The sequence below is a fragment of the Homo sapiens genome, chromosome 11 (genome assembly GCF_000001405.40).
Source record: "Homo sapiens chromosome 11, GRCh38.p14 Primary Assembly".
Lineage (NCBI taxonomy): Eukaryota > Metazoa > Chordata > Mammalia > Primates > Hominidae > Homo > Homo sapiens.
The window spans coordinates 46,896,354-46,922,456 of NC_000011.10; the positions used below are offsets into that span (position 1 = coordinate 46,896,354).

General features: G+C 50.2%; 1 protein-coding gene across 3 annotated transcripts in view, besides 10 other annotated features; it reads right to left on the minus strand.

Annotated features, from left to right (window-relative positions):
* LRP4 (LDL receptor related protein 4) overlaps positions 1-22,197 on the minus strand; it is a 61,834-nt gene extending 39,637 nt beyond the window's left edge. For 2 of the 3 annotated variants that reach the window (NM_002334.4, XM_017017734.2), the window contains exons 1-8: positions 21,975-22,197; positions 6,430-6,576; positions 3,909-4,025; positions 3,510-3,623; positions 3,034-3,150; positions 2,551-2,679; positions 2,205-2,324; positions 516-641 (exon numbers count right to left, since the gene is read on the minus strand). In NM_002334.4, the coding sequence (NP_002325.2) occupies positions 516-641; positions 2,205-2,324; positions 2,551-2,679; positions 3,034-3,150; positions 3,510-3,623; positions 3,909-4,025; positions 6,430-6,576; positions 21,975-22,026 (922 nt within the window). In that variant the 5' untranslated portion in view covers positions 22,027-22,197. Of the gene's footprint in view, positions 1-515; positions 642-1,842; positions 1,952-2,204; positions 2,325-2,550; positions 2,680-3,033; positions 3,151-3,509; positions 3,624-3,908; positions 4,026-6,429; positions 6,577-21,974 lie in introns of those variants that run through there. The other variant, XM_011520103.3, reaches the window with a different exon arrangement.
* Positions 19-744: an enhancer, noted in NCBI's record as "H3K4me1 hESC enhancer chr11:46917923-46918648 (GRCh37/hg19 assembly coordinates)". NCBI's record gives its function as "activates a minimal SCP1, AML or CMV promoter by ChIP-STARR-seq in naive H9 embryonic stem cells {active_cell/tissue: H9 hESC(naive)}" and the evidence as "EXISTENCE:reporter gene assay evidence [ECO:0000049][PMID:30033119]".
* Positions 9,576-10,410: an enhancer, noted in NCBI's record as "NANOG-H3K27ac-H3K4me1 hESC enhancer chr11:46927480-46928314 (GRCh37/hg19 assembly coordinates)". NCBI's record gives its function as "activates a minimal SCP1, AML or CMV promoter by ChIP-STARR-seq in naive H9 embryonic stem cells {active_cell/tissue: H9 hESC(naive)}" and the evidence as "EXISTENCE:reporter gene assay evidence [ECO:0000049][PMID:30033119]".
* Positions 10,411-11,243: an enhancer, noted in NCBI's record as "NANOG-H3K27ac-H3K4me1 hESC enhancer chr11:46928315-46929147 (GRCh37/hg19 assembly coordinates)". NCBI's record gives its function as "activates a minimal SCP1, AML or CMV promoter by ChIP-STARR-seq in naive H9 embryonic stem cells {active_cell/tissue: H9 hESC(naive)}" and the evidence as "EXISTENCE:reporter gene assay evidence [ECO:0000049][PMID:30033119]".
* Positions 20,387-21,258: an enhancer, noted in NCBI's record as "H3K27ac hESC enhancer chr11:46938291-46939162 (GRCh37/hg19 assembly coordinates)". NCBI's record gives its function as "activates a minimal SCP1, AML or CMV promoter by ChIP-STARR-seq in naive H9 embryonic stem cells {active_cell/tissue: H9 hESC(naive)}" and the evidence as "EXISTENCE:reporter gene assay evidence [ECO:0000049][PMID:30033119]".
* Positions 21,762-21,931: a silencer, noted in NCBI's record as "silent region_3317". NCBI's record gives its function as "represses an Ori minimal core promoter by ATAC-STARR-seq in GM12878 lymphoblastoid cells {active_cell/tissue: GM12878}" and the evidence as "EXISTENCE:reporter gene assay evidence [ECO:0000049][PMID:35858748]".
* Positions 21,942-22,121: a silencer, noted in NCBI's record as "silent region_3318". NCBI's record gives its function as "represses an Ori minimal core promoter by ATAC-STARR-seq in GM12878 lymphoblastoid cells {active_cell/tissue: GM12878}" and the evidence as "EXISTENCE:reporter gene assay evidence [ECO:0000049][PMID:35858748]".
* Positions 22,132-22,361: a silencer, noted in NCBI's record as "silent region_3319". NCBI's record gives its function as "represses an Ori minimal core promoter by ATAC-STARR-seq in GM12878 lymphoblastoid cells {active_cell/tissue: GM12878}" and the evidence as "EXISTENCE:reporter gene assay evidence [ECO:0000049][PMID:35858748]".
* Positions 22,422-22,926: an enhancer, noted in NCBI's record as "NANOG-H3K27ac hESC enhancer chr11:46940326-46940830 (GRCh37/hg19 assembly coordinates)". NCBI's record gives its function as "activates a minimal SCP1, AML or CMV promoter by ChIP-STARR-seq in primed H9 embryonic stem cells {active_cell/tissue: H9 hESC(primed)}" and the evidence as "EXISTENCE:reporter gene assay evidence [ECO:0000049][PMID:30033119]".
* Positions 23,621-24,122: an enhancer, noted in NCBI's record as "H3K4me1 hESC enhancer chr11:46941525-46942026 (GRCh37/hg19 assembly coordinates)". NCBI's record gives its function as "activates a minimal SCP1, AML or CMV promoter by ChIP-STARR-seq in naive H9 embryonic stem cells {active_cell/tissue: H9 hESC(naive)}" and the evidence as "EXISTENCE:reporter gene assay evidence [ECO:0000049][PMID:30033119]".
* Positions 24,123-24,622: an enhancer, noted in NCBI's record as "H3K4me1 hESC enhancer chr11:46942027-46942526 (GRCh37/hg19 assembly coordinates)". NCBI's record gives its function as "activates a minimal SCP1, AML or CMV promoter by ChIP-STARR-seq in naive H9 embryonic stem cells {active_cell/tissue: H9 hESC(naive)}" and the evidence as "EXISTENCE:reporter gene assay evidence [ECO:0000049][PMID:30033119]".

Here is a 26,103-nt window from a genome sequence, read left to right on the forward strand (position 1 = left end):
AGGTCATAGCAAGGCAGGGCTTGGGCCAACAAAGAGATGGGAGCCTGTCATTTTCTAGGGTAAGCTGGAGACAGATGAGACTCAAGGTGGGAGGGTGAGGGTCCTGGGCAGGAAGCAGCTCAGACAGGGCTGGCTGAATGTCTGCATTTGCTTTCTCCCCAGGACTCCACAGTGGGATGGTGAGGAATATGGAACAGAATGAAAAAGTGCAACCACATGCTCAATACTGGGTGTGGCCAGGGGAGCACACATGGGGGCTGCCAGATGGAGGGTAGTCCTTCCTCACTAGACCAGAGCTAAAGGCACTGGCTGTGTGTGAGTTAGAATAGGAGTGGCAATTGAAACTCGCAGCTCTGATACTGTGCTCCAGGCCATAAGGCCGCAGGTCAATGATGCACCTGGATTTTACACTGGTAAAACCTCAACCCAACTGGAAAGATACCAAAGCACCCTCTTTTCCACCCTTCCACCCCAACTATAGGCTAAGGGTTCTGGGGCACCCCGGGAGACACCACCTGTATTCTCACAGTTCTCTTCATCGCTGTTGTCTGCACAGTCGTCCTCCCCATCACAGCGCCAGGACAGGCGGACACAGCGGCCTGAGTGACAGCGGAACTGTTCTGCCGTACACATGGAGGTGGCTGGGCAAAGCAAAGGCTTAATGAAAGGTGGGCCCCATTTCAGCCTGAAATTCTCCCTGCCACCCAAATCTGCAGCTTATATCAGTACCCATGCCACTCTTGACACCGGGATCACAGCTGGTCTATATAGTGTCTTTGTGTGAATCAGAAAAAAGTATCCTTTCCTCAAGACACTTTACTGCCATCTGCTGGAAAACTGCCATGATGAGTATATAAATCTATTATGTGACTGGCTTCCCTTTGGACATATTGCCTCTGCACAGTGCACAACCTACACAACTGTACATGGTGGTGGTCTTACCCAGTGTCTTCAAGATTTATGGGTAGTGGCCTGTTTGTCTTTTTTTTTTTTTCTTTTTATTTTTTTATTTTTATTTTTTTTTATTTTTTAATTTTTTTATTATCATTCTTGGGTGTTTCTCGCAGAGGGGGATTTGGCAGGGTCATAGGACAATAGTGGAGGGAAGGTCAGCAGATAAACAAGTGAACAAAGGTCTCTGGTTTTCCTAGGCAGAGGACCCTGCGGCCTTCCGCAGTGTTTGTGTCCCTGGGTACTTGAGATTAGGGAGTGGTGATGACTCTTAACGAGCATGCGGCCTTCAAGCATCTGTTTAACAAAGCACATCTTGCACCGCCCTTAATCCATTTAACCCTGAGTGGACACAGCACATGTTTCAGAGAGCACAGGGTTGGGGGTAAGGTCACAGATCAACAGGATCCCAAGGCAGAAGAATTTTTCTTAGTACAGAACAAAATGAAAAGTCTCCCATGTATACTTCTTTCTACACAGACACGGCAACCATCCGATTTCTCAATCTTTTCCCCACCTTTCCCTCCTTTCTATTCCACAAAACCGCCATTGTCATCATGGCCCGTTCTCAATGAGCTGTTGGGTACACCTCCCAGACGGGGTGGTGGCCTGGCAGAGGGGCTCCTCACTTCCCAGTAGGGGCGGCCGGGCAGAGGCGCCCCTCACCTCCCGGACGGGGCGGCTGGCCGGGCGGGGGGCTGACCCCCCAACCTCCCTCCCGGACGGGGCGGCTGGCCGGGCGGGGGGCTGACCCCCCCACCTCCCTCCCGGACGGGGTGGCTGACCGGGCGGGGGGCTGACCCCCCCACCTCCCTCCTGGATGGGGCGGCTGGCCGGGCAGAGGGGCTCCTCACTTCCCAGTAGGGGCGGCCAGGCAGAGGCGCCCCTCACCTCCCGGATTGTCTTGTTTTTTGAGATGTCATCTCACTCTGCTACAGGGACGCCGTCTCGGGTCACTGCAACCTCTGCCTCCTAGGTTCAAGCGATTCTCCTGCCTCAGCCTCCCGAGTAGCTGGGATTACAGGCATGCGCCACCACACCCAGCTAAGTTTTGTATTTTTAGTAGAGATGGGGTTTAACCATGTTACCCAGGCTGGTCTTGAACTCCTGACCTCAAGCAATCCACCCACCTTGGTCTCCCAAAGTGCTGGCATTATAAGCATGAGCCACCGCGCCCAGCCGGTAGTGGCCTCTTTGGCTCCACAAGCCTTCTCCTTAGTTCAAGCCCAACCTAATTCCATTTCCCCACTCACTGCAGTTGCGCTCATCAGACTGGTCATCACAGTCCGCGTCACCATCGCAGCGCCAGCCTGCATTGATGCACAGGCCACTGTCACACATGAACTCCCCAGAGCGGCAGGGCTGGTGGGAGGCTAGGGAAACACAAGACTTCTGTCTCTAGCCAGTCTGTGCAGTGTCCCATGGCAGACTAGAAGGCCACAGCCCCAGAATCCCAGTTCCTCCATCTCTTCCCAAGAGGGACCAGAAAATCCAGAAACTCCTCTCTGAACTCCTGCCCCAGCTGGCGACTGTGCCTTGCCACCCAAGCAGTTCTTCCCAGCCTGGCCTCCCCACCTCCCAGCTGGCCAGAGTACTCACAGCAGTCAGACTCGTCTGACCAGTCTCCACAGTCATCGTCGCCATCGCAGTGGTAGATGTCGAGGATGCAGCGTCCATAGGCACACTGGAACTCCTCCAGGTTGCAGGGGGGCGCTGGCACTGCTGAGGCTGGAGGGAAGGCAGGGGTGGGGAGGGGCACACACTCAGGCCTGGATGAAGGAGAGGGGCCCTGATTCCTCAAGCAGGCAGGATGCTCAGGCAGGAGAGCTTCTTCAAGTGAGATGTAACCAGGTTTCATCTGGGACAGCCCTTATAGACGCCCATATTCAGGTGGACCAAAGGAAGCCTTCCCTTCCCACCTGGGGAACTTGCTCCCTCCCTAGCTCAGCCTAGGAGGAGCTGCTGCTGAGGCACCCATGCTCCTTGCCCTTGGTACATGCACTCCTCAGCCTCGCCCTTAGCCAATGGGCAGAACTGTCTGCCCTCATCCAACCCAACAGCCTGAGGTCTGGGGCCACTCACGACAGTTCTCCTCATCGGAGCCATCTTTGCAGTCGGTGTCACCGTCGCAGTACCAATGCTCAGCAATGCAGCTTCCGTCACTACAGCGGAACTCCTTGTCGGAGCACTTGCGCATGTCTGGGGGGATGCGATGGGACAGCAGTTCTGAGGGGGCCCCACAGGCAACCCTCTCACCCTCCTCTCTGACTCCCAACCTCACTGGCTTTGGCGGGTCTGACCTAGCCCCCGAAAGGCACCCCAGAGTCAGTGCAGACTCTCCAGGGAGAACGGAGGCCCTGGAGAGACTGGGCCTCAGCCTCCTGGTCCACAGTTTCTGGGGGGTCTGAGCGGCTCTGCCCCCTCTGCGTTCCTCTAGCTGCTCCAGATATCTGGGCAGTTGGAGGTTTGGCAGTGCTAGGGCCATTGCTGCTATCTTCTCCCATGGCCAGGCCACCCACTGGCCACCTTGCCTGCCTTCCCCCGTTGGGGTCACCCACCACACTGCTCATCGCTGTTGTCGCCACAGTCATTGTCACCATCGCAGTGCCACAGACTCCGGATGCAGTAGCCATTCTGGCAGGGAAACTCGTCCTCCTCACACTCCCGGGGGGCTGTGGGCACAGAGCAGTCAGGCTGCTGCAGGCAGTGGGGGTCTGGTGCCTGGAAGCCTGACTTAAAGCCCTCCGGAGCAGTCAAGTAGCTCCAGTGCTGCCCTGAGGGCTCCGAAGGAGGTGGCTGCCTCTCAGCAGCTTATCTGACTTCGAGAGGAAGTGAAAGGACAGGACAAAGTGCTGAAAACACAAGGGCTCATGTGGACCTGGGGCATTGCTTTCTGATTGAAAATCCTTTCCCAGTGGAACTCAATGGAGTTCCGCCCAGCCTCTGCCAACACTCACGACAGTCCTGCTCATCCGAGTCATCCTCACAGTCGTTGTCCCCGTCACACACCCAGGAGCGGCGGATGCACTTGCCATTGTCACAGTGAAAGTCAAGAGGGGAACAGGTAGGTAGTACTGAATCCCAGGAAAAGAAAAGAAAAGTCAATCAACCTGGTATTCTTACTCAGGCTCAACTAGGCCAGATAGCCTTTTGCTCCAAATCCCCTTGTCTTTTTTTCTTTTTTTGAGACCGAGTCTTACTCTGTCACCCAGGTTGGAGTACAGTGGCGCAATCTTGGCTCACTGCAACCTCTGCCTCCTGGTTCAGGCGATTCTGACTCAGCCTCCCAAGTAGCTGGGATTACAGGCATGCTTCACCACACCTGGCTAGGTTTTTTTGGTTTTTGTTTTTGTTTTTTGCATTTTTAGTAGAGACAGGGTTTTGTCGTGTTGGCCAGGCTGGTCTCAAACCCCCGACCTCAGGTGATCTGCCTGCCTCAGCCTCCCAAAGTGCTGGGATTACAGGCATGAGCCATGGCGCCTGGCCTTTTTTTTTTTTTTGAAACAGAGTCTGACTCTGTCACCCAGGCTGGAGTGCAGTGGTATGATCTCGGCTCACTGCAACCACCGCCTCCTGGGTTCAAGGAATTCTCATGCCTCAGCCTCCCGAGTAGCTGGTGTTACAGGTGCCCGCTGCCACACCCAGCTATCTTTTTTTTTGTGTGTATTTTTAGTAGAGGTGGGTTTTCGCCATGTTGGCCAGGCCAGTCTCGAACTCCTGGCCTCAAGAGATCCACCTGCCTTGGCCTCCCAAACTGTTGGGATTACAGGCGTGAGCCACCACACCCAGCCCCCTTGTCTGTTTTATAGTCCTTCCTTACTGACTCCTAGGCCCATCCCCAGCTGATGGAGAAGCTAAGCAGAAACTGCAGCTAAGACAGAGATTCAAAAGGTAATTGTGGTGAGGGGTTCACAGGGTAGGGGAAGAACAACCCAAAGAACTCACAGGAGCTAAGAAAACATAAGAAAAACATGAGCAAGAGAAAGAAGCGCCTTTTTCCCCTCCTTTCCTCTTGTTAAATGATGATTGACACACCCGGGCTCAATTTCCAGTTCATTACGTAACACTCTGAGCAAGTCATTTACCCTCTCTGAGCTGAAGTCTTTTTGGCTGTACAATGGGGATAATTATACTCAGTTCATAGAGGCCTTTTGATATAATGCCTATGAAAATGCTACATGAAAGTGAAGCATTTATCATCAACACAATTAGCTGAACTGGTTAGGGTTAATGAGGTCCAGGTTGTACCTCCGTTCCCATTAGACTAATTAGCCACCCTCAGACATAGATGCTACAGGTAGGTCAGAGATTGCGCCTCTAATCCAGACTATTGGCTTAGCAGGGATATTTCTATATATCCAAGACAGGTCACCCTGGCCAACTGTGCAGATGTTACCATGCTAGGGGAAAAGGGAGACTTAAGGAAAATATAAGTTTTTTTTTTTTTAGACGGAGTCTCGCTCTGTCGCCCAATCTGGAGTGCAGTGGCGCGATCTCGGCTCACTGCAAGCTCTGTCTCCCGGGTTTACACCATTCTCCTGCCTCAGCCTCCCAAGTAGCTGGGACCTCAGGTGCCTGCCACCACGCCCGGCTAATTTTTTTGTATTTTTAATAGAGACAGGGTTTCAGCGTATTAGCCAGGATGGTCTCGATTTCCTGACCTCGTGATCTGCCCACCTCAGCCTCCCAAAGTGCTGGGATTACAGGCATGAGCCACTGCGCCCGGCCTAAGAAAATATAAGATTTCTTACAAAGTTACTAAGAAAGGTGTGGCTGGGCGTGGTGGTTCATGCCTGTAATCCCAGCACTTTGGGAGGCTGAGGTGGCTGGATCACTTGAAGTCATGAGTTCGAGACCAGCCTGGCCAAAATGTTGAAACCTCATCTCTACTAAAAATACAAAAAATTAGCTGGGCATGGTGGCACATGCCTGTAGTCCCAGCTACTCAGGAGGCTGAGGCAGGAGAATCACTTGAACCTGGGAGGTGGAGGTTGCAGTGAGCCTAGACTGTGCCCCTGCACTCCAGCCTGGGAAACAGAATGAGACTCTGTATCAAAAAAAAAAAAAAAAAAAGGTTTTATTGTACAAAATACCAAAATAAGAAACATAGAAATAATCCACATTTGTGTATAGTATATAAATTTTAAAACGCACAAATATGCGGTACATATACACAAACATATTCACATAAATACAGAGAGACCTATTTAAAGAAACTCCCTGTTGTGTTCTCTTACACGTGTTGTCAAGTTTGTTTTCTTGGACATATATGCATGAACCAACCAAAAGAAACACAGGAGAGTTGGAGCCATATATAGTGAAGAAACTACCCAAATGTCAATATCTATCAAGCTTGCAAAAGACCAACTCTCTGAGTCCGACACAGTTGATGCAGAAAATACTCCATCAGCCTTGTCCTTGCCCCCCACCCCCAGGTCCCTCTCCACCACCTCCCACTGCCTCTGGGGAGGTACTTACTACATCCATCCTCATCGCTGTGGTCCCCGCAGTCATTGTCTCCATCACACTGCCACTGGGCAGGGATGCAGGTACACTCTCCAAGAGCACTCACTGCACATGTGAAGTGGCTCCGACCACAAGCACACTCGGGGCTGCTGGCCAGGCCTGGGCGGAGGGAAAAGGAATCAGTGAGGGCTCAGCTCCCACTCAACCCAAGCCCATTCCGAGGGGAAAGTAGAGGAGCCTAGTCCAGGGGCACTGTCACCTGGAGAGTCACAGTGACACTTCAAGGGAGATGCAGGCAGTAAAACCATGCCTCCTCCAGGGCATAAACGACCCAGCAGATACCCTCTGACTTTGGGCTTACAAAGAGTCCAGGTGACCCGCTCTATGACAGGGCTTTTTTGCATGGCACCTCTAAGGGCCCAGAAACAGATGATGCCACCTAGGCTAGGCACAGTGGCTCATACCTATATCACAGCACTTTGAGGGGCTGAGATGGGAGGATTGATTGAGCTCAGAAGTTCAAGACCATCGTGGGCAACATAGTGAGACCTTGTTTCTACAAAAAACTAAAAAATTAGCTGAGGGTAGTGGCATGTGCCTGTAGTCCCAGCTACTTGGGAGGCTGAGGTGGGAGGATTGCTTGAACCTGGGAGGTCAAGGCTGCAGTGAGCTATGATCACACCACTGCACTCCAGCAGGTGCAACAGAGCAAGACCTTGTCTCAAAAAAGAAAAAAAGAAACAACCCCCTCCAAAAAAAAATGATGCCACTCAGAGGTTTGGTGCTTTTGAAGAAGAGGAACAAGGGACAGAAAGGGTGATGTTGAGAGGCCTCCATAGCCTTCTCACTAAAACTAGGTTGAGATATGGACGCTCTGCCTCTGTCTTGGACCAGACCCTGGGATGTTGGCCAGGGAGGGCAAGAACTAATGGTGGAATTAAAATGCTGGAGCCTCTTTAGGATAAGGAATCCACACAGGGGAGCAGGAAGCAGGGTGGGCTGCTCTGAGTCCCCCAGGCCACCTCAGGGCAGAGTAACTGGGACCTGCCAGGGCCTTCCTGTCTGTGGCACAGGCCACAGCCTTGAGGAAGGCTGGCAGATGCAGCCTCTCCCCCGGCTTCAGCAGCACGCAGCTGGGCTTCCCTATTGAGCATCGAGCTATCTGCCTGGCCAAGTCCCATGACCAGCTGCTGTGCCCCCTCCCCAGCGTGCCCAGCAGGATGCCCTGGGATGGCGTGTGAATGGCTCAGTGCCCTGCTCCAGCCTCAGCTGGAACAAAGGGTTCTGCCAGGGTCACTCTCCCCCCTCCCAGCATTCATCCAACCCGCTGGGCTGCTCTGCTCGCAGCTGGGGAAGGAGGGGGCCGCAGCGCATGGCTCATCTCTCCCCCTTCCTTTCTTCTCCTCTTCCTTCCCTCAGCTGGACCCTGCCCTCAGGCTGGGCTGAAACAGAGAAGGAGTCAGCTCGAAATTGTCACCCCTCTTCCTATACTCTGTACCTGGTCCAGCTTTTCTCTCTCAGCTCATCTCCTTGATGTACATCCTTGTCTCACATTATAATTCCTTGGCCTAGCCTAGGGCTTAGGGCCAGGATAAAAAGGTGTGCTGCCATGCCCTCCAAAAGCAGGGAGAGAGCTCTAGAACTTTCCCTCTCCATCTCAACCCCAAGAGTAAGTGCAAGCATAAGGTAAAACTTCCTAGCCTGCAATGCATGGATGGATGGATGGATGGACGGACAGACGGATGGATGGATGGATGGATGGATGGCTTTTGGGTTCTGTGAATCCCTGATGCTACAGGTATAATGTACGTTTCTGGGGTAAGGGATCACAGCTTTCACCAGATTCTCAACTGAGGCCTGGCCCTCTCCCTCCACATGCTATGGTAATCAGCTGCTCTAGAAAAGATGCAGGATTGGGCTGGGCACGGTGGCTCATGCCTGTAATATCAGCACTTTGAGAGACTGAGGCAGGTGGATCCTTTGAGCACAGCAGTTTTGAGACCAGCCCGGGGAACATGGCAAAACCCTGTCTCTACAGAAAAGAAATTTACAAAAGTTAGCCAGGCATGGTGGTGGACACCTGTACTCTCAGCTACTTGGGAGCATGATGTGGGAGAATCACTTGAGCCCGGGAGGTTGAGGCTGCAGTGAGCCATGATCTCACCACTGCACTCCAGCCATGGTGACAGGATGAGACCTTGTCTCAAAAAAAAAAAAAAAAAAAAAAAAAAAGATGCAGGATTTCCTGCGGAAGCCAAGTGAGGTCCAGTTGGGAGGTGCAGTGTCTCTAGACCTCACAGGAAGGCCTTGCTCCAAGCCCAGTGCTCCTGTCTCTTCGGGTCTCTCTACAAATGCAGGGTAGAGGATTCTTCCCCAGGAAGCACTAAAAGACCCAGGTGCCCCTGCCCCCACTCCATCCTTTCTGGCCTGAGAACTCTGAGAAGGGAGGAGGGTTTTTCTCACTCAGATCCTGGACAACACAGCCTGAGGAACTTCAGTAGTATGACAGGCTCAGCACAGCTGTAGGCACCCTTTTGGTGAACTCTAGCTGGATTGAACAGCAAAGATGTTTAATTCCACTCCATGTGATGGGACTCCCCGGTACACAGATCCCCTTCATGGGGTATCATGGTGAAGAAAAAGGATAAGGCTAATAAGGATCTCAACTGGGGATATTTTGTCCCCCGGAGGACATTTAGCAATGTTTGGAGACATTTTTGGTTGTCCTGCTTGGCGGTGCTTACCGACATCTGGTGGGTAGAAGCTAGGGATGCTGCTAAAGACTCTATAACGTGTATAATTCTATACAGGATTACACGCCTGTAATCCCAGCACTTTGGGAGGCCCAGGTGGGCGGATCACCTGAGGTCAGGAGTTCAAGACCAGCATGGCCAATGTGGTGAAACCCCCGTCTCTACTAAAAATACAAAAATGAGCCGGGTATGGTGGTGGGCACCTGTAATCCCAGCTACTTGGGAGGCTGAGGCAGGAGAATTGCTTGAACCCAGGAGGCAGAGGTTGCGGTGAGGGGAGATCATGCCATTGCACTCCAACCTGGGCAACAGGAGCGAAACTCCGTCTCAAAAAAAAAAAAAAAAATCTATAACATGCAGACAGGCCCCTATGACAAAGAATTATCTGGCCCAAAACATCAACAGAGGTTGAGAAATGCTGCTAACCACACACAGTAGGGAGTGGGGATGTACCAGACGGGAGTTCAGGATGAAAGCTGTGGAAAGGACAGAGAGGAAGTAGGGGGGAATAGGAGGAGGAGGTTAGGCAGAGGACAAAGCACTGGACCTGGAGCAGACAGACTTGGGTTCCATCGACCAGCCAGTTGACCTTGTGCAAGTCACGTAGCCCCTTAAGCTTCAGTTTTCTTGTTTGTAAAAAAGCCACAAGGGGCTGAACATGGTGGCTCATGCCTATAATCCTAGCACTTTGGGAGGCTGAGGCGGGCAGATCACTTGAGGTCAGGAGTTTGAGACCAGCCTGGCCAACATGGTGAAAACCTGTCTCTACTAAAAATACAAAAATTAGCTGGGCGTGGTGGCGCACGCCTGTAGTCCCAGCTACTTGGGAGGCTGAAGCAAAAGAATTGCTTGAACCATGGAGGCAGAGGTTGCAATGAGCAGAGATCACGCCACTGCACTGCAGCCTGGGCAACACAGCGAGACTCTGTCTCGAAAAAAAAAAAAAGCAACAAAGATTAGACAAGAAAATAAAGGTGGAAAAAACTAATCTTATGCCTTGGCACACCAAAGATGTTCAATAATGGAGGCTGGGGTGTGCAGATGCAGGGCTGTGCAGATGCAGGGCTGTGGAGGCTAAATTTTTCCAAAAGGCCTTGATATTAAGAATCAGAGTACCAGAATAGAGCAAGTAGAGCAGTGTCCTGGGGCTGCGTGCAAATGAAAAGTCATACTGGTAGGGAAGAACCTTAAGCTCCGTTTGTTTTTTTAGGGCCCCACCCCCGCCTTTGGCTGAGTGATAACAGAAGTCCCGATTTCCCCCGCGCAGACTGTAGGAACAAAGCATTCCATCGGTGGGCATCAAGTTAGTTGCAGGCAGTTGAAGGGCCTCGACTTCCTGCATGTCAAATCAACATCTCAGCGTCCGCTGCAGTGAAGGGCGGGCAGCCACCGGTCAGGCAAACGCTTGACTTGGGCATTCATACAGTAAACAGACACATTATACTCCAAAAAGCCAGCTCTTCTGGGCAACTGCTGTCCCTCTGGGGTCCTCAGAGGTGGAATTCTGCCTTTTCACTCAAGTCCTGGCTGTGATCATAAAGGCAGCTTTTAACCCTTTTTAAGGAAAAGAATGGTGAGTGAAGAAAGAAAACAAATGACTGTGGGTGGCAAAATGCAGCCTTCATTTTAAGAAGTGTTGAATTAGAACACTTCACTATGCTCTGGCCTTGAAAGCTGCCAGCCACATCGCAAGCTCCCTTAGCCTCCAGGGGCCTGGGCTCTAGCCCCTCCACCTAATGCAATTCACTATGGAAAAGGTCTGTCCGCAAGGTATCTTTGATCATGAAGCCATCCAGCTTTTGGGATATATGTTAATGTGCTCATAGGATGTTTCTCTAGAGGTTAACTAAAATCTTACCTTTTACATCTCATCTCTCCCACTCCCGCCATCTTACCACTTTCTCACGGCTTTCATATAAAGCAAGCTTGTCCAACCTGAGACTTGCATGGCCCAGGATGGCTTTGAATGTGGCCCAACACAAATTCGTAAACTTCCTTAAAACATGAGATTACTTGCGATTTCTTTTTTCTTAGCTCATCAGCTGTTGTTAATGTTCATGTATTTTATGTGTGGCCCAAGACAATCCTTCTTCCAGTGTAGCCCAGGGAAGCCAAAAGTCTGGACAGCCCTGATATAAAGGAAAGAAGGGAAACATCCATCTGGTATACAAGACACACTAACTTAGTAGTAGACAACATAGATTCTAAAGTCAGAGAGATGAAGGTTCAAATCTTGGTTCTACCACAAATTCCGCAATTTTGAGCAAGTTAGTTAATCCCTCCAGGCCTCAGTTTCCTCATCCATAAAATGGGAATATTAACAGTTCTAACTCAAAGGGCTTTGTAAAGATTAACCCATATAAACTGCTTAGCACAGGGCTAACACACAGCAAAAGCTTCATAATAATATAACCATCTTTTTTTTTTCCGAGATGGAATCTTGCTGTGTTGCCCAGGCTGGAGTGCAGTGGCGCGATCTCAGCTTACGGCAACCTCCGCCTCCCGAGAAGCAATTCTCCTGCCTCAGCCTCCTGAGTAGCTGGGATTACAGGCACCCATCACTGCACCTGGCCAATTTTTGTATTTTTAGTAGAGACGGGGATTCACCATGTTGGCCAGGGTGGTCTTAAATTCCTGACCTCATGATCCGCCCACCTCGGCCTCCCAAAGTGCTGGGATTACAGGCGTGAGCCACTGCGCCTGGCCCCATCATTTATTAAATACTTACCAGGTGCCCTCCGAGTACTTTTCTAAGTGCTTTTCATATGCTACATCACTGAAGGCTCTCAACAACCCTAGGAGGTGGTACTGTTATTATTAGTTTGATGCAAAAGCAATTGCGGTTTTTGCCATTACTTTTAATGACAAAAATTGCAATTACTTTTGCGCCAACCTAATATTATCACCACTTTACAGCTGGGGACAATGAACCACAGAAAGGTTAAGTCTGTAGATAGATTGCACAAGTACTAAGGGTTGAGGCCAGCATTCACACCCAGGCAGGTGATTATACTGCTTCCCAATAAATGGTATTACTGTTGTGAGAATCTCCAAAACCCCAAGGTCAAAAGGGGGAATTTACAACTTCTGGGTCCCTCTCTTTTATGTGTTCTCCAATAGCAAATATGCAGTGAGTTTATGGGTCTCAAACAGTGACCTCTTTCTGGTTACTGCTAAGGTAAAGAAAGATTCATTTCCCTCGCCGGAAGGTAAAGTAATGAAGTGGGGAAAGTCTGGCGTCCCAGCACTTTTGAATCAGCACTCGAGTGTTGTTGGTCCAGGGAACAGGGCTTCCCATAACAAATAATTATACTTTGCAATTTCTCTTTAGTTTGTGAGCTACTTTTGCATATGCACTTGCATTCTCATTGAATCATTACAATAATCCTGAGCAATGACTGCAGGGCCCATCCAACAGGTAAGGGCACCCGCTTTGGCCAAGGTCACAAGGTAAGTAGGAGAGCCAGGATGGCAGCCCCATTCTGACACTTAAACTAGTATTCTTCTCTTAGTGTGATCTCAGAGTCTGGACTTTCAGTAAGCTTTCCGGGTGACACCGATGCACACTCAAGTGTCTAGCGGCACTGCTCTCCACCATTCCATAGAATGCACAGCTGAAGGTGGACCACATCTGTCACATGGAGGCACATGGGTAGACCGTGACTACTCACAGCTACAGACCAGCTTTTTCAAGCTGAACCAGAGATGAGAAGGCTTAAGGAGTACCCTGTGAGTGTTCTGGAGTCTGGTGGCTACCCCAGTGTGGAAGCTATTAGGATTACAATGAGAAAAGGAGGAATCGGCCGGGCGCGGTGGCTCACGCCTGTAATCCCAGCACTTTGGGAGGCCGAGGCGGGTGGATCATGAGGTCAGGAGATCGAGACCATCCTGGCTAACAAGGTGAAACCCCGTCTCTACTAAAAATACAAAAAGTAGCCGGGCGCGGTAGCGGGCGCCTGTAGTCCCAGCTACTCGGGAGGCTGAGGCAGGAGAATGGCGTGAACCCGGGAAGCGGAGCTTGCAGTGAGCCGAGATTGCGCCACTGCAGTCCGCAGTCCGGCCTGGGCGACAGAGCGAGACTCCGTCTCAAAAAAAAAAAAAAAAAAAAAAAAAAAAAGGAGGAATCACCATTCGTTTATAATATGCTAAAGCATATTAGCATATGCCTCTCTCCTTTTATCCACTGGCAGCAATAAATACAAGTTCGTTGAATGAATGAATGAATGAATGAAACACTCCTCTAGAATCTTGTGAAAGCTGGAGTCAAAGGAAAAGAGACTCAGAATATCATAAATAAAAGTAGTTATTTCCTACCTAACCAGTGCTGGAGAGAACAGGAATCTTCTCGTTTGCAAGGCAGCCTCTTTGTCCTACCCAGGTTTTGTTTACTCCTTTCTCCTACAAGAGTTCCTTTCACCAGCTGTATTATCCGGCTGTGAAACTGACACGCCATGTTTCTACTTATTTCTGTCCCATGGTCCCTTTTATTCCCGATTCCTAGAGGCCAGCTTAACTTGGTTGGTTTGGAAAATCTACCAGGTGAAGTCTTCTCCTCAGTGGCCCGTTTCGAAAGGGACATGTCGGGCACATGATTGCGGGTCCAAGCAAGTTCAGCCCTCTCTTGCTACTGTTACATACAGAAAAGAAGTCCTTAATGGTTAGCCTCCAAAGTTATGAGGCAGAAGAACATAATGTTAAGCACGGAGGAACAAAACTCCCCAGGATAAAAATCCTGACTCTGCTAAGTTCCTAGCTGTCTGACCCTGGGCAGCTATTTAACCTCTTTATATATAATTTTCTCATCAGGAAAATTGGGATAATAAAATCCCCTAACTTACAGGAATGTTATGAGAAATAAATTAGTTAATTCATAAGAAGGACTTAGCATTACTGCCTGGCACATACTAAGTGCTCAATAAATAATAGCTCTTGTTATTACTATTAAAGATTTGGCTTACCCCAGAACTGTCACATCCAACCACTCCATGATTAAGACCTGCTATTTTAGGACTTGAGATGTTTGAAAACCCTACTGTGTACCAGGCAGCAGTACCACCACCATGGGTTAAGTTGGTGGCATGAATAACTGCAGAGTCTTGCTTTATTGCCTTTCTCTGAAAGAGCTTGAGGCACATGGTATCCTTTATCCTTGCCCCCTTTTTTTTTTTGAGGTGGAGTCTTGTTCTGTCACCCACACTGCAGTGCACTGGCACAATCTCAGCTTACTGCAACTTCCATCTCCCGGGTTCAAGCGATTCTCCTGCCTCAGCCTCCCAGGTAGCTGAGACTACAGGTGTGTACCGCCACACCCGGCTAATTTTTGTATTTTTAGAGTAGAGACAGGGTTTCTCCACATTGACCAGGCTGGTCTCAAACTCCTGGCCTCAAGTGATCCACCTGTCTCGGCCTCCCAAAGCACTGGGATTACAGGCACGAGCCACCACACCCAGCAAATCTTTGCCTAATTTATCACCAACTAATTCTGAGGAGCCAAGGACAGGAGAGAGAATCCAGAAACTAAAGTACAGAGCAATTAAGAAATGGATTAGCTTCCACTTTTGTAAATCAGGAGTAATAACAGTATCTATTTCATAGGGTTGCTGGGAGGTCTAAATGAAATAATACGTATGAGGTTCATACTAGACAGCTGTTATTGTTTTTCTTGTTATTTGTACTAATCCCATTATCTTCATCTGGATATGTCCTCTCTCTCAACCTAGTAATGTAGCCAATGCCAGGCTATCTTTGTATAGATCCTCAAAATTCTACCTGCCCTACCTGGAAGCTGTCAACAGATTTCACAAATCCAACAGGGCTCAAACATGGCTGTGCTCTGTGAAGGGCTGCTCAAAATATTGCTTTCCCTTCCCCCTACATCTCAAATCAGAAGGTCCACACAGTAACAAACCACATTTGTTTATGGCTGTTCAGGGAGCAACAAACCACATTTTTCTGGAAACCTTTTAAAGTCTCTCTCTTCTCCTGAGCCCATGAGTTCGAGGCTACAGTGAGCTATGATCATGCCACTGCACTCCAGCCTTGGCAATAGAGTGAGAACCTGTCTCAAAAAAAAAAAATAAATAAATAAATAAAAATAAAGTCTCTCTCCCTCAAGAAGCACCTGAGAAGTAATTCCTTATGCATTCAGACTCCCTGAGAAGATGTCTGAAAACAGAGGAGAGGTCAATCCAAGATGAAATATAGACCTTCCCAACCTAGATCTTCTGGGATAGCCTGGAATCCTGGCTCAGTTACTCACTATTTGTATGACAGGAAACTGCTCTGAGCCTGTTTCCCATCTGTAAGATGGGAATCTTCTTTTTTTTTTTTTTTTTTTGAGACGGAGTCTCGCTCTGTCGCTCAGCCTGGAGTGCAGTGGCACAGTCTTGGCTCGCTGCAACCTCTGCCTCCCAGGTTCAAGCGATTCTCCCACCTCAGCCTCAGCCTCAGCCTCCTGAGTAGCTGAGACTATAGGCATGTGCCACCACGTCAGCTAATTTTTGTATTTTTAGTAGACATGGGGTTTCACCATGTTGGCCAGGTTGGTCTCGAACTCCTGACGTCAAGTGATCCACCCACCCCAGCCTCCCAAAGTGCTGGGATTACAGGCGTTAGCCATCGCACCTGGCCAATGTAAGACGGGAATCTAATGTTACCTACCTCATAAGGATATTGTGAGGAATAAATATGATATCATATACTAAATGCTTATCACAGTACCAGGGACACAGCAAAGCTCTCAAAAATGCTAACTGCTCCAGAAATACATTTGGATTTTTTAAACCACATATCCCAATTTGTAAATCCACATATCCCACAATTTGCAAAAATTGTCATTGGAGGAGATCATTCCTAGAAGAGCAGAAATTCTCATTTGGGGAAGATACATTGTAGAGTTGTTGGCTTTTATTGGCTCTGGGAGCCTGTAGTTGAAACTTATTGTTTAAACTGCCCGTGGAAGGAGGGTGGAAAACCTGGGGCTCCCCTTTCCTATTTGCTAGGCTTGTGGATGCCATAACCTGGCCTCTCCACTTGGTTAGAAGGAGGCTACAGTCAACTCAACAGAGAAGCTGTCTCTTGTCCTCATCCATGCCAGCGCGTGGTTGCAGGCCACTACCCCTCCCCACCTCCCCCAAGGCGTGACAGGAAGTGGAGCTGCCGAGCTTGGAGAGATCCCTGGAGGCACTTACAACCTTGCAGCTTCTTTATTTCACATGCTAATCAGGTGTCTCTCTGGATACCCTTCTCTGTACCTGCTCTGCCCTACACCCAGACAGAGGGAGGGTCCCTCTCCCGCAAAAAGGCACTGCCTGGAGCCAGGAGCTTCCCGGCTCCAGAAAACCTCCGGTGATAAATTATGCAGCAGCACCTCTGTGTCACTGCCTCTCAGCTAGATGGGAGGTTTGCTCCCAGTCTTTTGTTTCCGGCTCTGCTTGCCGCTCTGATCCTCAGCTGTGCATAGAGGTGAGGGGGAGCTCCCATAGGCCAAGTCAGGGCTTGCAGCAAGTCCCAGCCAGGCTATCCCCAGTTGGGTCCCAGACAGCGCCCCTCCCCTCATTCGAACCTGAATGATGGGGGAGTCCTATTCCGCATGGGGAAACAGGGTGTCAGGGAGCGCTAACAGCCAGTCCGCTCATCTGTGAGCAAGAATGGGAATGCCTACGAGCAGTGAAAGAATGAAGTCTGCTTGGATGGGCGTAAGAGGCGCCCAAGGGCACCTAGGATGTTTGCTTCTTGCTAAATCAAAAACGCACAACAGAAAATGGAGGCAGACAACCGTCAGGAAGCTAGAGAATTGGCTCTTTTTAACAGCTGCTCTTGGTTACGGTCAACTTTCCGCAGCTCCCAAAAATCACATCACTGGCACCAACTTAAAAAGAAGAAACAAAAGAGACAACAGGGGTCAAACTTTGAGGTGGAGGAACTAGGGGTTGGGGGCTATTCGGGGCTGGAGACCCACATCAATTAGGCCTGCAAGCTGACAGGCTTCCTGATTGAAAATGGTAGCTGCGAAGGCTCCACAACAGCCCAGCTCCCAAATTGGGGCAATTACTACCTTATGAGCTCTGGAGCCTGACTCCTTTCTCAGGCCAATGGGAGGGAGGGCTTGGAATTCTAAACTGTTCCAGCTACAAGAGTCCCTGGCCAGCCCCTCTCACCCCATGTCACAGGAATCTTAGCAGGAGAAGTTGCTAGGCTGCATCCCTGACCACTTAAGAAGGGAAACTCTCAGAGGAAAAGCTCCATTTCCCCAGACCTCTCTCAAGAGAACTAAGGCGACATGAGTTCCCCTAGACTGATGTTATAGCTTAGCAGACTTCTTTTCTAGGAGTGGGCACAAGTGGGAACTATGCTTCGGTTCTATCACGTTTTCAAGGGGAGAAAGAAGGGGCAGATCTTTAAAAGAGACAAGCAAAAGACCAGCTGCAATGAATGAAGGACCAAGTCTCAATTTTAGCACAGAACACGGTAGCATAATTATTTACCTGGCTCCCATGTTCTAAAGCCAAGAATCATCTCGGATCCACTTAGGTGACTTTGCTTACAGCTAACTTTTATCAAGCTCTACAGTAACACAGTAGTTGCCAAGCTCTGTGCTGCATAGTTTGAACATGCTATTATCTCAGGTAAATTTTATGATATTCCTATGTGATAATCTATTACTACTTCCCTTCCCCTACCCTACCCGCCTTTGCAGGTAACAACCCTGAGGTTCAGGGAGATTTTGCACAGGGTCACCAAGAATTGCCAGAGCCAAGATTCAAACCCAGGTCTGTGGGTGCTTCTTAATTGCTGAGCTTCGTATACAGTGATTATATTAATGCTTGACATATGTGTGTTTGCTGAATGAATGAACAAGTGAATGGGTGTGGAGCCTAGTTTGAGGAATGCTCCCGATTGTACGAGGAACTCATTCCTGCCAGCTCTAAGCTGGAGTGAGAGTGACAAGCCCATGCAGTCATCAGAACTATTTATAAGGTCAAACTCAGGCTCTGCCAGCTAACCAGTCAGCACTGAGTCTTCCCTGGGACACTGAATCCTCACAGGCTGAGGAGGGGAGGAGGGCTTCCGCTGCTGAAGATGAGATGGCAGTCCAGACACAGTCTGGGGCCCAGATGCCCCATGTCCAGGCAACTGTGACAAAACTCGTGGCTAAGCTGCATCAAGGAATGTAGAGAGACCATGGCTGGAACAGGCTAACAGACCTAGTCAACCAAGGGCACAGACTGTCTCGTAATCTTACCCAATCATAAAAAAGACAAGATTACTTCTTAAAGTAGTCCCTGAAATTCTGTTCCTATTCAGGAACCCCCAGTATTTTTTTTTTCTTTAAAGGGGCAGCAACATAAACAATTTCTCCTATTTTCCTTCTAACAGTTAAGACTGGCAGTTAATCGGTAGAAAGAGTGAGCAAAGAGCTATAAAACACCGTGTCCTCTGTGACCTCCTGTGTTCTTTGCTGGCCCAGAAGATGGACATACCCAACGTGCTCTGTATCAGACATGGCCAGACTTGGTTCCCTTGCACCTGTCATTCTTAATACCACGTGCCAGTCCAAAAGATGTTATCTGATATTCATCAGGGTACAGAAGAGGAAATCCAAAATCAGTGACAAGCCAAGTATGTTTCACAAGCCCAACAGATCAGGGACAAGGTCACTCAAGCACCATGACAACCCTGGTCACGACAACAGCGAGATGGAAAGGAGACCAGTCTCAGCTCAATTGCTCTGCACTTATTTTCAGATACAACCTTCTATCTACCCAAGCACGCCTAGGCAGAAGTTTTAACATTTCCCTTACCTGGATGAGACCTCTAGAACAAACACACTTTCCACTCTTCCAATGGTTGTCATCCATGCCCTTACTTCAAACTTCAGGATGAAAATCACTCAGGGCTATTACCAGCCATCAAGTTTCCTTCCAAAATCTTTAAGGTTGGAGAGTTATGTGGGCTGAGTCCAAACCAATAGGCTCTAGGAAAAGCCCCAAGGACTAGCAGCATCCAAATAAGCACCTTAAACTTTATTTATTTATTAAGATAGAGTCTCACTCTGTCGCCCCGGCTAGAGTGCAGGGGAGTGATCTTGGCTCATTGCAACTTCTGCCTCCCAGGTTCAAGCAATTCTCCTGCCTCATCCATTCGAGTAGCTGGGACTACAGGCATGTGCCACTGTGCCTGGCTAATTTTTGTATTTTTAGTAGAGATGGGGTTTTGCCATGTTGGCCAGGCTGGTCTTGAACTCCTGACCTGAAGTGATCCGCTAGTCTCAGCCTCCCAAAATCACCTTAAACTTTAGTGTCTTTAATTCATGCCTTGCTGAGGTCAGGTCTGCCTAATGGATCTACTACTACATTTATCACAACTGCTGTCTCCCTGAGCCCCTGGAATTGAGTGTCAGTCCAAAAGATGTTTTGGTGGTATTTTTGGTTGTGCTGGTTCCAGGCTCTGAAACTGCTCAATCTTACTGGTGAACTGTGAATCTGACCCCCCAGACCTCCAAGGATGGCTCAGTATCAGGCCAGGTGATGTGTATACCTTCACCCCACTGCCTACCCTTACAAACATGTGCACAGAAAGCTTCCCATGCTTAGACGTTTCTATTAAACTTTTTTCCTTAAAAAGAAACCTGGGCCGGACACAGTGGCTCACACCTGTAATACCAGCACTTTGGGAGGCCGAGGCAGGTGGATCACTTGAGCCCAGGAGTTGGAGACTAGCCTTGGCAACATGGTGAAACCCCATCTCTAGAAAAAAAAACAAAAATTTGTAGGGTATGGTGGTGCATGCCTGTAGTCCCAGTTACTCAGGAGGCTGAGATGACAAGATCACTTGAGCTTGGGAGGTCGAGGCTGTAGTGAGCTATGATTGCCCCACTGCATTCCAGCCTGGGCAACAGAGTGAGACACCCTCTCCAAGAAAAAAAAGAGAAAGAAACCTAAAAGCGTTACCGCGAATCCTCCCATTCTTTTTCTGTGAAACATTAGACATACGCAATTCTCTCCCCCCATTCTCACCCCCATCCTCTATGCACATGTAATATTTGCAGCGTTGACAGCTCTGGAGCAGTAAAATCTTCTTGGCCAGTCTCAGCCCGGAACCTTCCAGCTCCCCCTTCCCTAGGGCAGAAGGCGACAATCTCCTCTCTGGCTTTGTTGGTATCCGTTTTAACCCTAATTTTTTTTTTTTTTCCCAGTGCCTTGCCATTTCCCTTGATCTTTTTCAAAACTTCCTCCAGGGGGCTGAGAGGAAAGTTCCATCCCCTTTCCTTGCAACCCGAAGGGGGAAACCCCCCAAAAAGCAAAGCTGTCCCTTTAAGGGGCCCATGTGGTGGGAAGAACAGCTACATTCCTACCCCAGTAGGGCCGCTGTCCCAACACGCCAAAGAGGCTACAAATAACCTTCCAGGAGAGAGCCGGGGAGGGGAGAGCGCAGAGCGGAGCGGAACGTGGGCCGGCCAAGCTACCGCTCTTCGGAGAGAAAGAGCTCAGTCCGCGCTAGAGAGGACGCGGAAAAAAGCCCCTGAAAACCCACAGGTAGTTTAAATAAGAGACATGAAAACTCTGTTTTGGATTTGGGAGGTAAACCAATCTTTAAAACGAGTGCCTAGACATCTCCACGCCCTGCCAGGCAAGTTCGGAAATCTGCACTGACTTTTTCCACACGAGCTGTCCTACGTGAAAGAAAGAACCGGTAAAAGACCAGGCAGGGTCTCCAGACCCCTCCATTCTGAGCCCCAGCTCCCTTCATCGGGGCTGCGAGGCAAATGGGGAGACTCGGAACTCCCGCCACGATGAATAGCGATGGGTGAATAGGGCTGGGGTTCAAAGATCAAAGTTCTTTGATCTCTGGGCACAAACTAGGGAAAGCTGCTCAATCACGGGGTGCACCCAGGGTCGTTAAGAGCCCGCGGAGAAGCAGATTCCATCGGAGCCCTAGTCCCACACAACAGGGGGTACGGGCACCAAGGAGTCCTGCTGCAGCCGTCCAGCTCCCCCGAGGGCTGGGACCCTGCCGCGAGGGCCCGGCGGCTGCCTTCTGGGGTTCAGGGTTACCGGCCCCCTGCCCCCCTACCCCAGCCAGGGCAGATCTGCGGGAGCCTTCCAGCAGTTTCTTCCCTATATTCCTCCTCAGCCCCCTTTCCAACCACCTCCCTTTAGGACGATCCAGGGCTGGAAGCTGACTGGCCGCAGCCAAGAGAGGGACCCCGAAACACCGCCGAGGGGAGATGCTGCCCGCAAACAGTGCCCCAGAGCCCCTTGGTGGGAGCAAGACCTGGAGTCCGGGAATCGTTCTCCGAGTAGAGGAATCCCGGTGCCCAAGTACCAGATTCTACCGGGGCCTCTCTCCGCAACCCGCCCGAGCCCCCAGCCCCAGGAAGGAGGGCTATTTACAATTTATGGGTTTAGCGACCCTCCTCACCCGCCTCCCTTTCTTCGCACGCATTCATTCGCACCAAGGACACAGAGCCCCCGACCTAACCTGAAAGGGAAGCAGCCCCCGCTCTTGAAAGAGCAGCGAGGGAGGGCGAGCGAACGAACGCCCCGGACCTTACCCGCGCCCCGGCCCAGACCCGCGCCCCGGCCCAGACCCGAACCCGCGGAAGCGCCTCCGCTGATGCCCCCGCTCGGACTGCTGGAGCCGGGGCCGCTCCGGGTCCTCTCCCCTGCACGCAGCCCCAGGGCCACGGCTAGGAGCGAGGGCGAGGGGTCTCAGGCCCCGGCCCGCGCCGTCCAGGTCCCGGGAGGCGAGTCCTGCAGCGGCCGGACCCAGGGACAAACTTTCCCGGCGGGCGCCGCTTACCGTGTGCGCAGAGCAGGGCGCCAAGCAGCAGCGCGCCCCACTGCCGCCTCATGGTGCCGCCCGCGCCGCTCGCCCGGGGTCCCGCCGGCTCCCGCCGGACGGCGCGGCGGAGAAGCCCGCGGAGGGTCCCCGAGGGGGAAGCGTCCCGGGTGCACGGCGGCCTGCGCGCCCCGCAAGTCGCCCTCGGGCCGCCGCCGCCTCCAGTGCTGCCAGAGCCGACGCTGCCCCGCCAGGGGACCGGGAGGGGGTGTCCCGGGCCCGACCGCCCCGCCCCCCGCGCCGCAGCCCCGGCCACCGCCACCGCGCCTGGGCCCGCCCCCAGCGCCGGCCCGGCCCCTTCCCGCCCTCGGCCCCGGCTCCCTGGTCCCCCGACCCCACCCGCCGGCGCCTCCTGCGCGGGGCCCCGCTCCTCCTCAGGCCGCCCCCACATTCCTGGCCCGAGAGAGAGCCCCCTCCCTGTCGCTATTACTACTGCTTAAATTTCCCTAACTTAAAAAAAAAAAATTATCCTAGCAGCAAGTCTCGCCCCCGCTCACTCCAGCTCTATGCTTCAGACGAGCACCTGAGCTGACCCAAGTCGCCTGGACGTGACCCTGCCCCCGCCTACCGGCCCCAAGTCCAGACTTTTTTGATGTCTGCGAATACGCAAGGCTTGTGGATGCATAATCCTCTTGGGTCTTTATTGACATCAAACAAGGGACATCAGGGGGCCTGGAGTGCTGTATCTTAACTGGCGTTCTCACTGTCAAAATTCCTTTTCGGAGATTTTCTTCTCCCTGGCCTCCCCCGGTCTAGGCAGCGTTGTTCTAGGGCTAAATAATTCACCGACCCCCCCGCCCCTTTTCATTCACTCATTTCCTGAGATGGTTGTCTGGGTCCTGTTGCTCCAGCTCAGAGGCCCAGATTCGGCCCATACAGACTTAGTTCCTCCTTGCTGTCTTTGTAAATCACTGTTGTTAGCCTCTTCACCTTCTTTGACTTTCTGATCCTGACAAGGAAGGGAGGGGGTCAGGAAAGGAGTCCTCATGGGCAGCTGCACTCCCACAAAGCCCTCAGCCTCCTTCCAGCCCCAGTCTGTAGGTCCTTCCCTCAGATTTAACTTTTGATTTACTGCATAAAATCATAAACTTGTCTCTAGTCTTCCTTCCTTTTGTGGTCTACTCTCCCTAATGCATATTAATAATACGGATTAATTTCACCACCTTCCATTTTTCCAGGTTGAATCTTGTTTTGTTCCTTTTGCCCAAATGCCCAACTTTCTGATGGCCCAGTATATCGCTTTTTTCCCTCCCAGCTGATATGCCAGCATTTCTTGGGCTTGGATCATCTATGGATTTCATTAACTCACTTTCCTCACCAGTAAATAGAGTCAGGAAGACCCAAATGCCCCCTGTTAGCTGAGGGGAAAGTAATTTGGCATAGTGCAAAGTGGTTATTAGATTTCTCTAAATGGATACATTGACATTTCATCCTTGCTTGTTTTTTTCAGTACTTTCACTTCAAATTACCATCTTTTACCAAAGCTAACATGAACCATACTTTGCGACAGCAACAACAACAACATAAAAGATGTAAGGTGTTAACTCCTTGTTAGGCAGTAGTTTTCTATATCGTTTTGCCTGAAATTTTTATCCAGATGCAATGTGGTTGAACTAGCATCACCATGGTAACTATTACTGAAGCATTTTCTGGGTGTGTAGTTCTTCTTGCTGACTGAAGGCGGCAGTAGCGTCAGGTCAGGCTTACATGATCTTGGGGCTAGGCAAGACTGTCAACATTTCTGGCCTCGATCAGTTACCACAGCCTAAAATCCAAGGAGGAAAAAACGTCAAAAGTAGAGGCTGATTCCCCAGCATCCTCCTTCCCACCTCTCATTTCCTAATGCAGGTTTGGTTGGTCTCAGGGTTTCATATATGTTGCTTATGAAGACTTGCTCTTTTTTTTTCTTTTTTGAGACGGAGTTTCACTCTTGTTGCCCAGGCTGGAGTGCAATGGCGCCATCTCAGCTCACTGCAACCTCGGCCTCCCGGGTTCAAGCGATTCTCCTGCCTCAGCCTCCCGAGTAGGGTAGCTGGGATTACAGGCATGCGCCATCACGTCCGGCTAATGTATTTTTCGTAGACGGAGTTTCTCCATGTTGGTCAGGCTGGTCTCGAACTCCTGACCTCAGGTGATCCACCCGCCTCGGCCTCCCAAAGTGCTGGGATTATAGGCGTGAGCCACTCTGCCTGGCCGAAGACTTGCTTTTAAATCTGTTGGGAATGACCTTGGGATTCTGGAGACCATATTTTTTTCCAGCTGAAAACTAGGGACTTGTGGTAGAGCCAGTACAGTTGTCCCAAAGAAATCCAGGATAGGCAGTCCCCATACTTTCAATGTCAGGGGATTAAGAAGTTATAAACAGTTTCCACTCTGTATGCAAAGGACAGGTTCCTTTCCAGAGGCATGATTTGTGTTGTTTTTCTGGAATTGGAGAAGAAACGAGAGGCGGGCTGTCCCTGTCTGACTCAGCTTGAGAGACTGTTTCCTATGTGCATCCCAAGTCCTTCTCCACGGTTCAGCACAGTTCTGGTGCACAGAGTCATCCCTGGCTGCTGTGAGTCACTGGGAATATCAATGGGTAAGAAACTAGCTTCGTGCATAGTCCCTGTCTGGGTCACCCCCTAGGGTGAGTTAAGTCTTGGCTGTCAGAGACTGCTCTTGTGCCAGGAGTACTAAGCCATATTTATTTTTACCAGGCCTCTCAGACTTTCTTGTTTGGAGTGAGAGATCCTGAAAAGCAGGCCAGAATGGGCTGTTTGTCTCCCTTTCACTGTCCTCTGGGACATGCCCCTAGAAAAGTTGTAGGGGACTGCCAATTCCAGAGGGGTCTCAGAGGCGTTGGTTTCCTCAGAAACACCACCCCTTTCCTTCATCTTTCTAGAACAGCCCAGCATTCTTTCTTCCCAAGATCAGAATATTTCCCTGAATTAGACCATCACTAATGGTCTTTTCAAAGGAAACGCAGGGAGTGCTACGGAAACAAGATAGGGGTGGGCACTATTTTGATCCAACTGGGTTGGTAGAATTCTCTTATAACCCGGGAATCATTCAACAACCTGAATTTCTATATGTAATTCTTCTACAAGAGAATAAGGCCTGAAGTTTCACACTTCAACACAGTGGTTCTCAACCACAGGTGAATTGGCAGGCATGGGGCAACATCTAAAGACTTCCTTTCTTCCTTCCTTCCTTCCTTCCTTTCCTCCTCCTTCCCTCCCTTTCTCCCTTTCTCTCTTTCTTTTCTTCTTCCCTTTTATTTTATTTTATTTTGTTTTATGTTATTGAGACGTAGTCTTACTCTGTTGCCCAGGCTGGAGTGCAGTGGTGCAATGTAGGCTTACTGCAACCTCTGCCTCCCGGGTTCAAGCGATTCTTCTGCCTCGGCCTCCTGAGTAGCTGGCATTACAGGCATGCACCACCATGCCCGACAAATTTTTGCATTTTTAGTAGAGATGGGGTTTCACCATGTTGACGAGGCTGGTCTCAAACTCCTGATGTCAGGTGATCTGCCCACCTCGGCCTTCCAAAGTGCTGAGATTACAGGTGTGAGCCACCATGCTTTTTCTTTTAGAGACAGGGTCTCACTGTTACCAAGGCTGGAGTGCAGTGACTATTCACAGGCACAACTACAGCACACTGCTGCTTTGAACTCTTGGCCTCAGGTGATCCTCCTGCCTCAGCCTCCCAAGTAGTTAGAACTACAGGTGTGCACCACTGCACCCGGCAATTTTGGGGAGTTGATGTTACTGGCATCTAATGAATAGAGGCCAAAGATGGTGCTTAACTTTCAAAGATGGTGCTTAACTTTCTACAGTGAGCAGGGCATCCCCCACAACAAAGAATTATCCATCCCAAAATGTTAATAGTGCCAAGGTTGAGAAACTGCTTTAAAAGATTAAAACATGAGACTGCAAAGAATTACTCTATCTTATTTCCAGAATCACTTTCTTGTTGAAGGCAATGTGAATGGAGATAAGTTTTTGTTGTTGTTGTTGTTGTTGTTTTATTTTGTTTTTTGTTTTTTGAGACGGAGTCTCACTCTGGGCCCCAGGTTGGCCTGATCTCAGTTCACTGCAGTCTCTGCCTC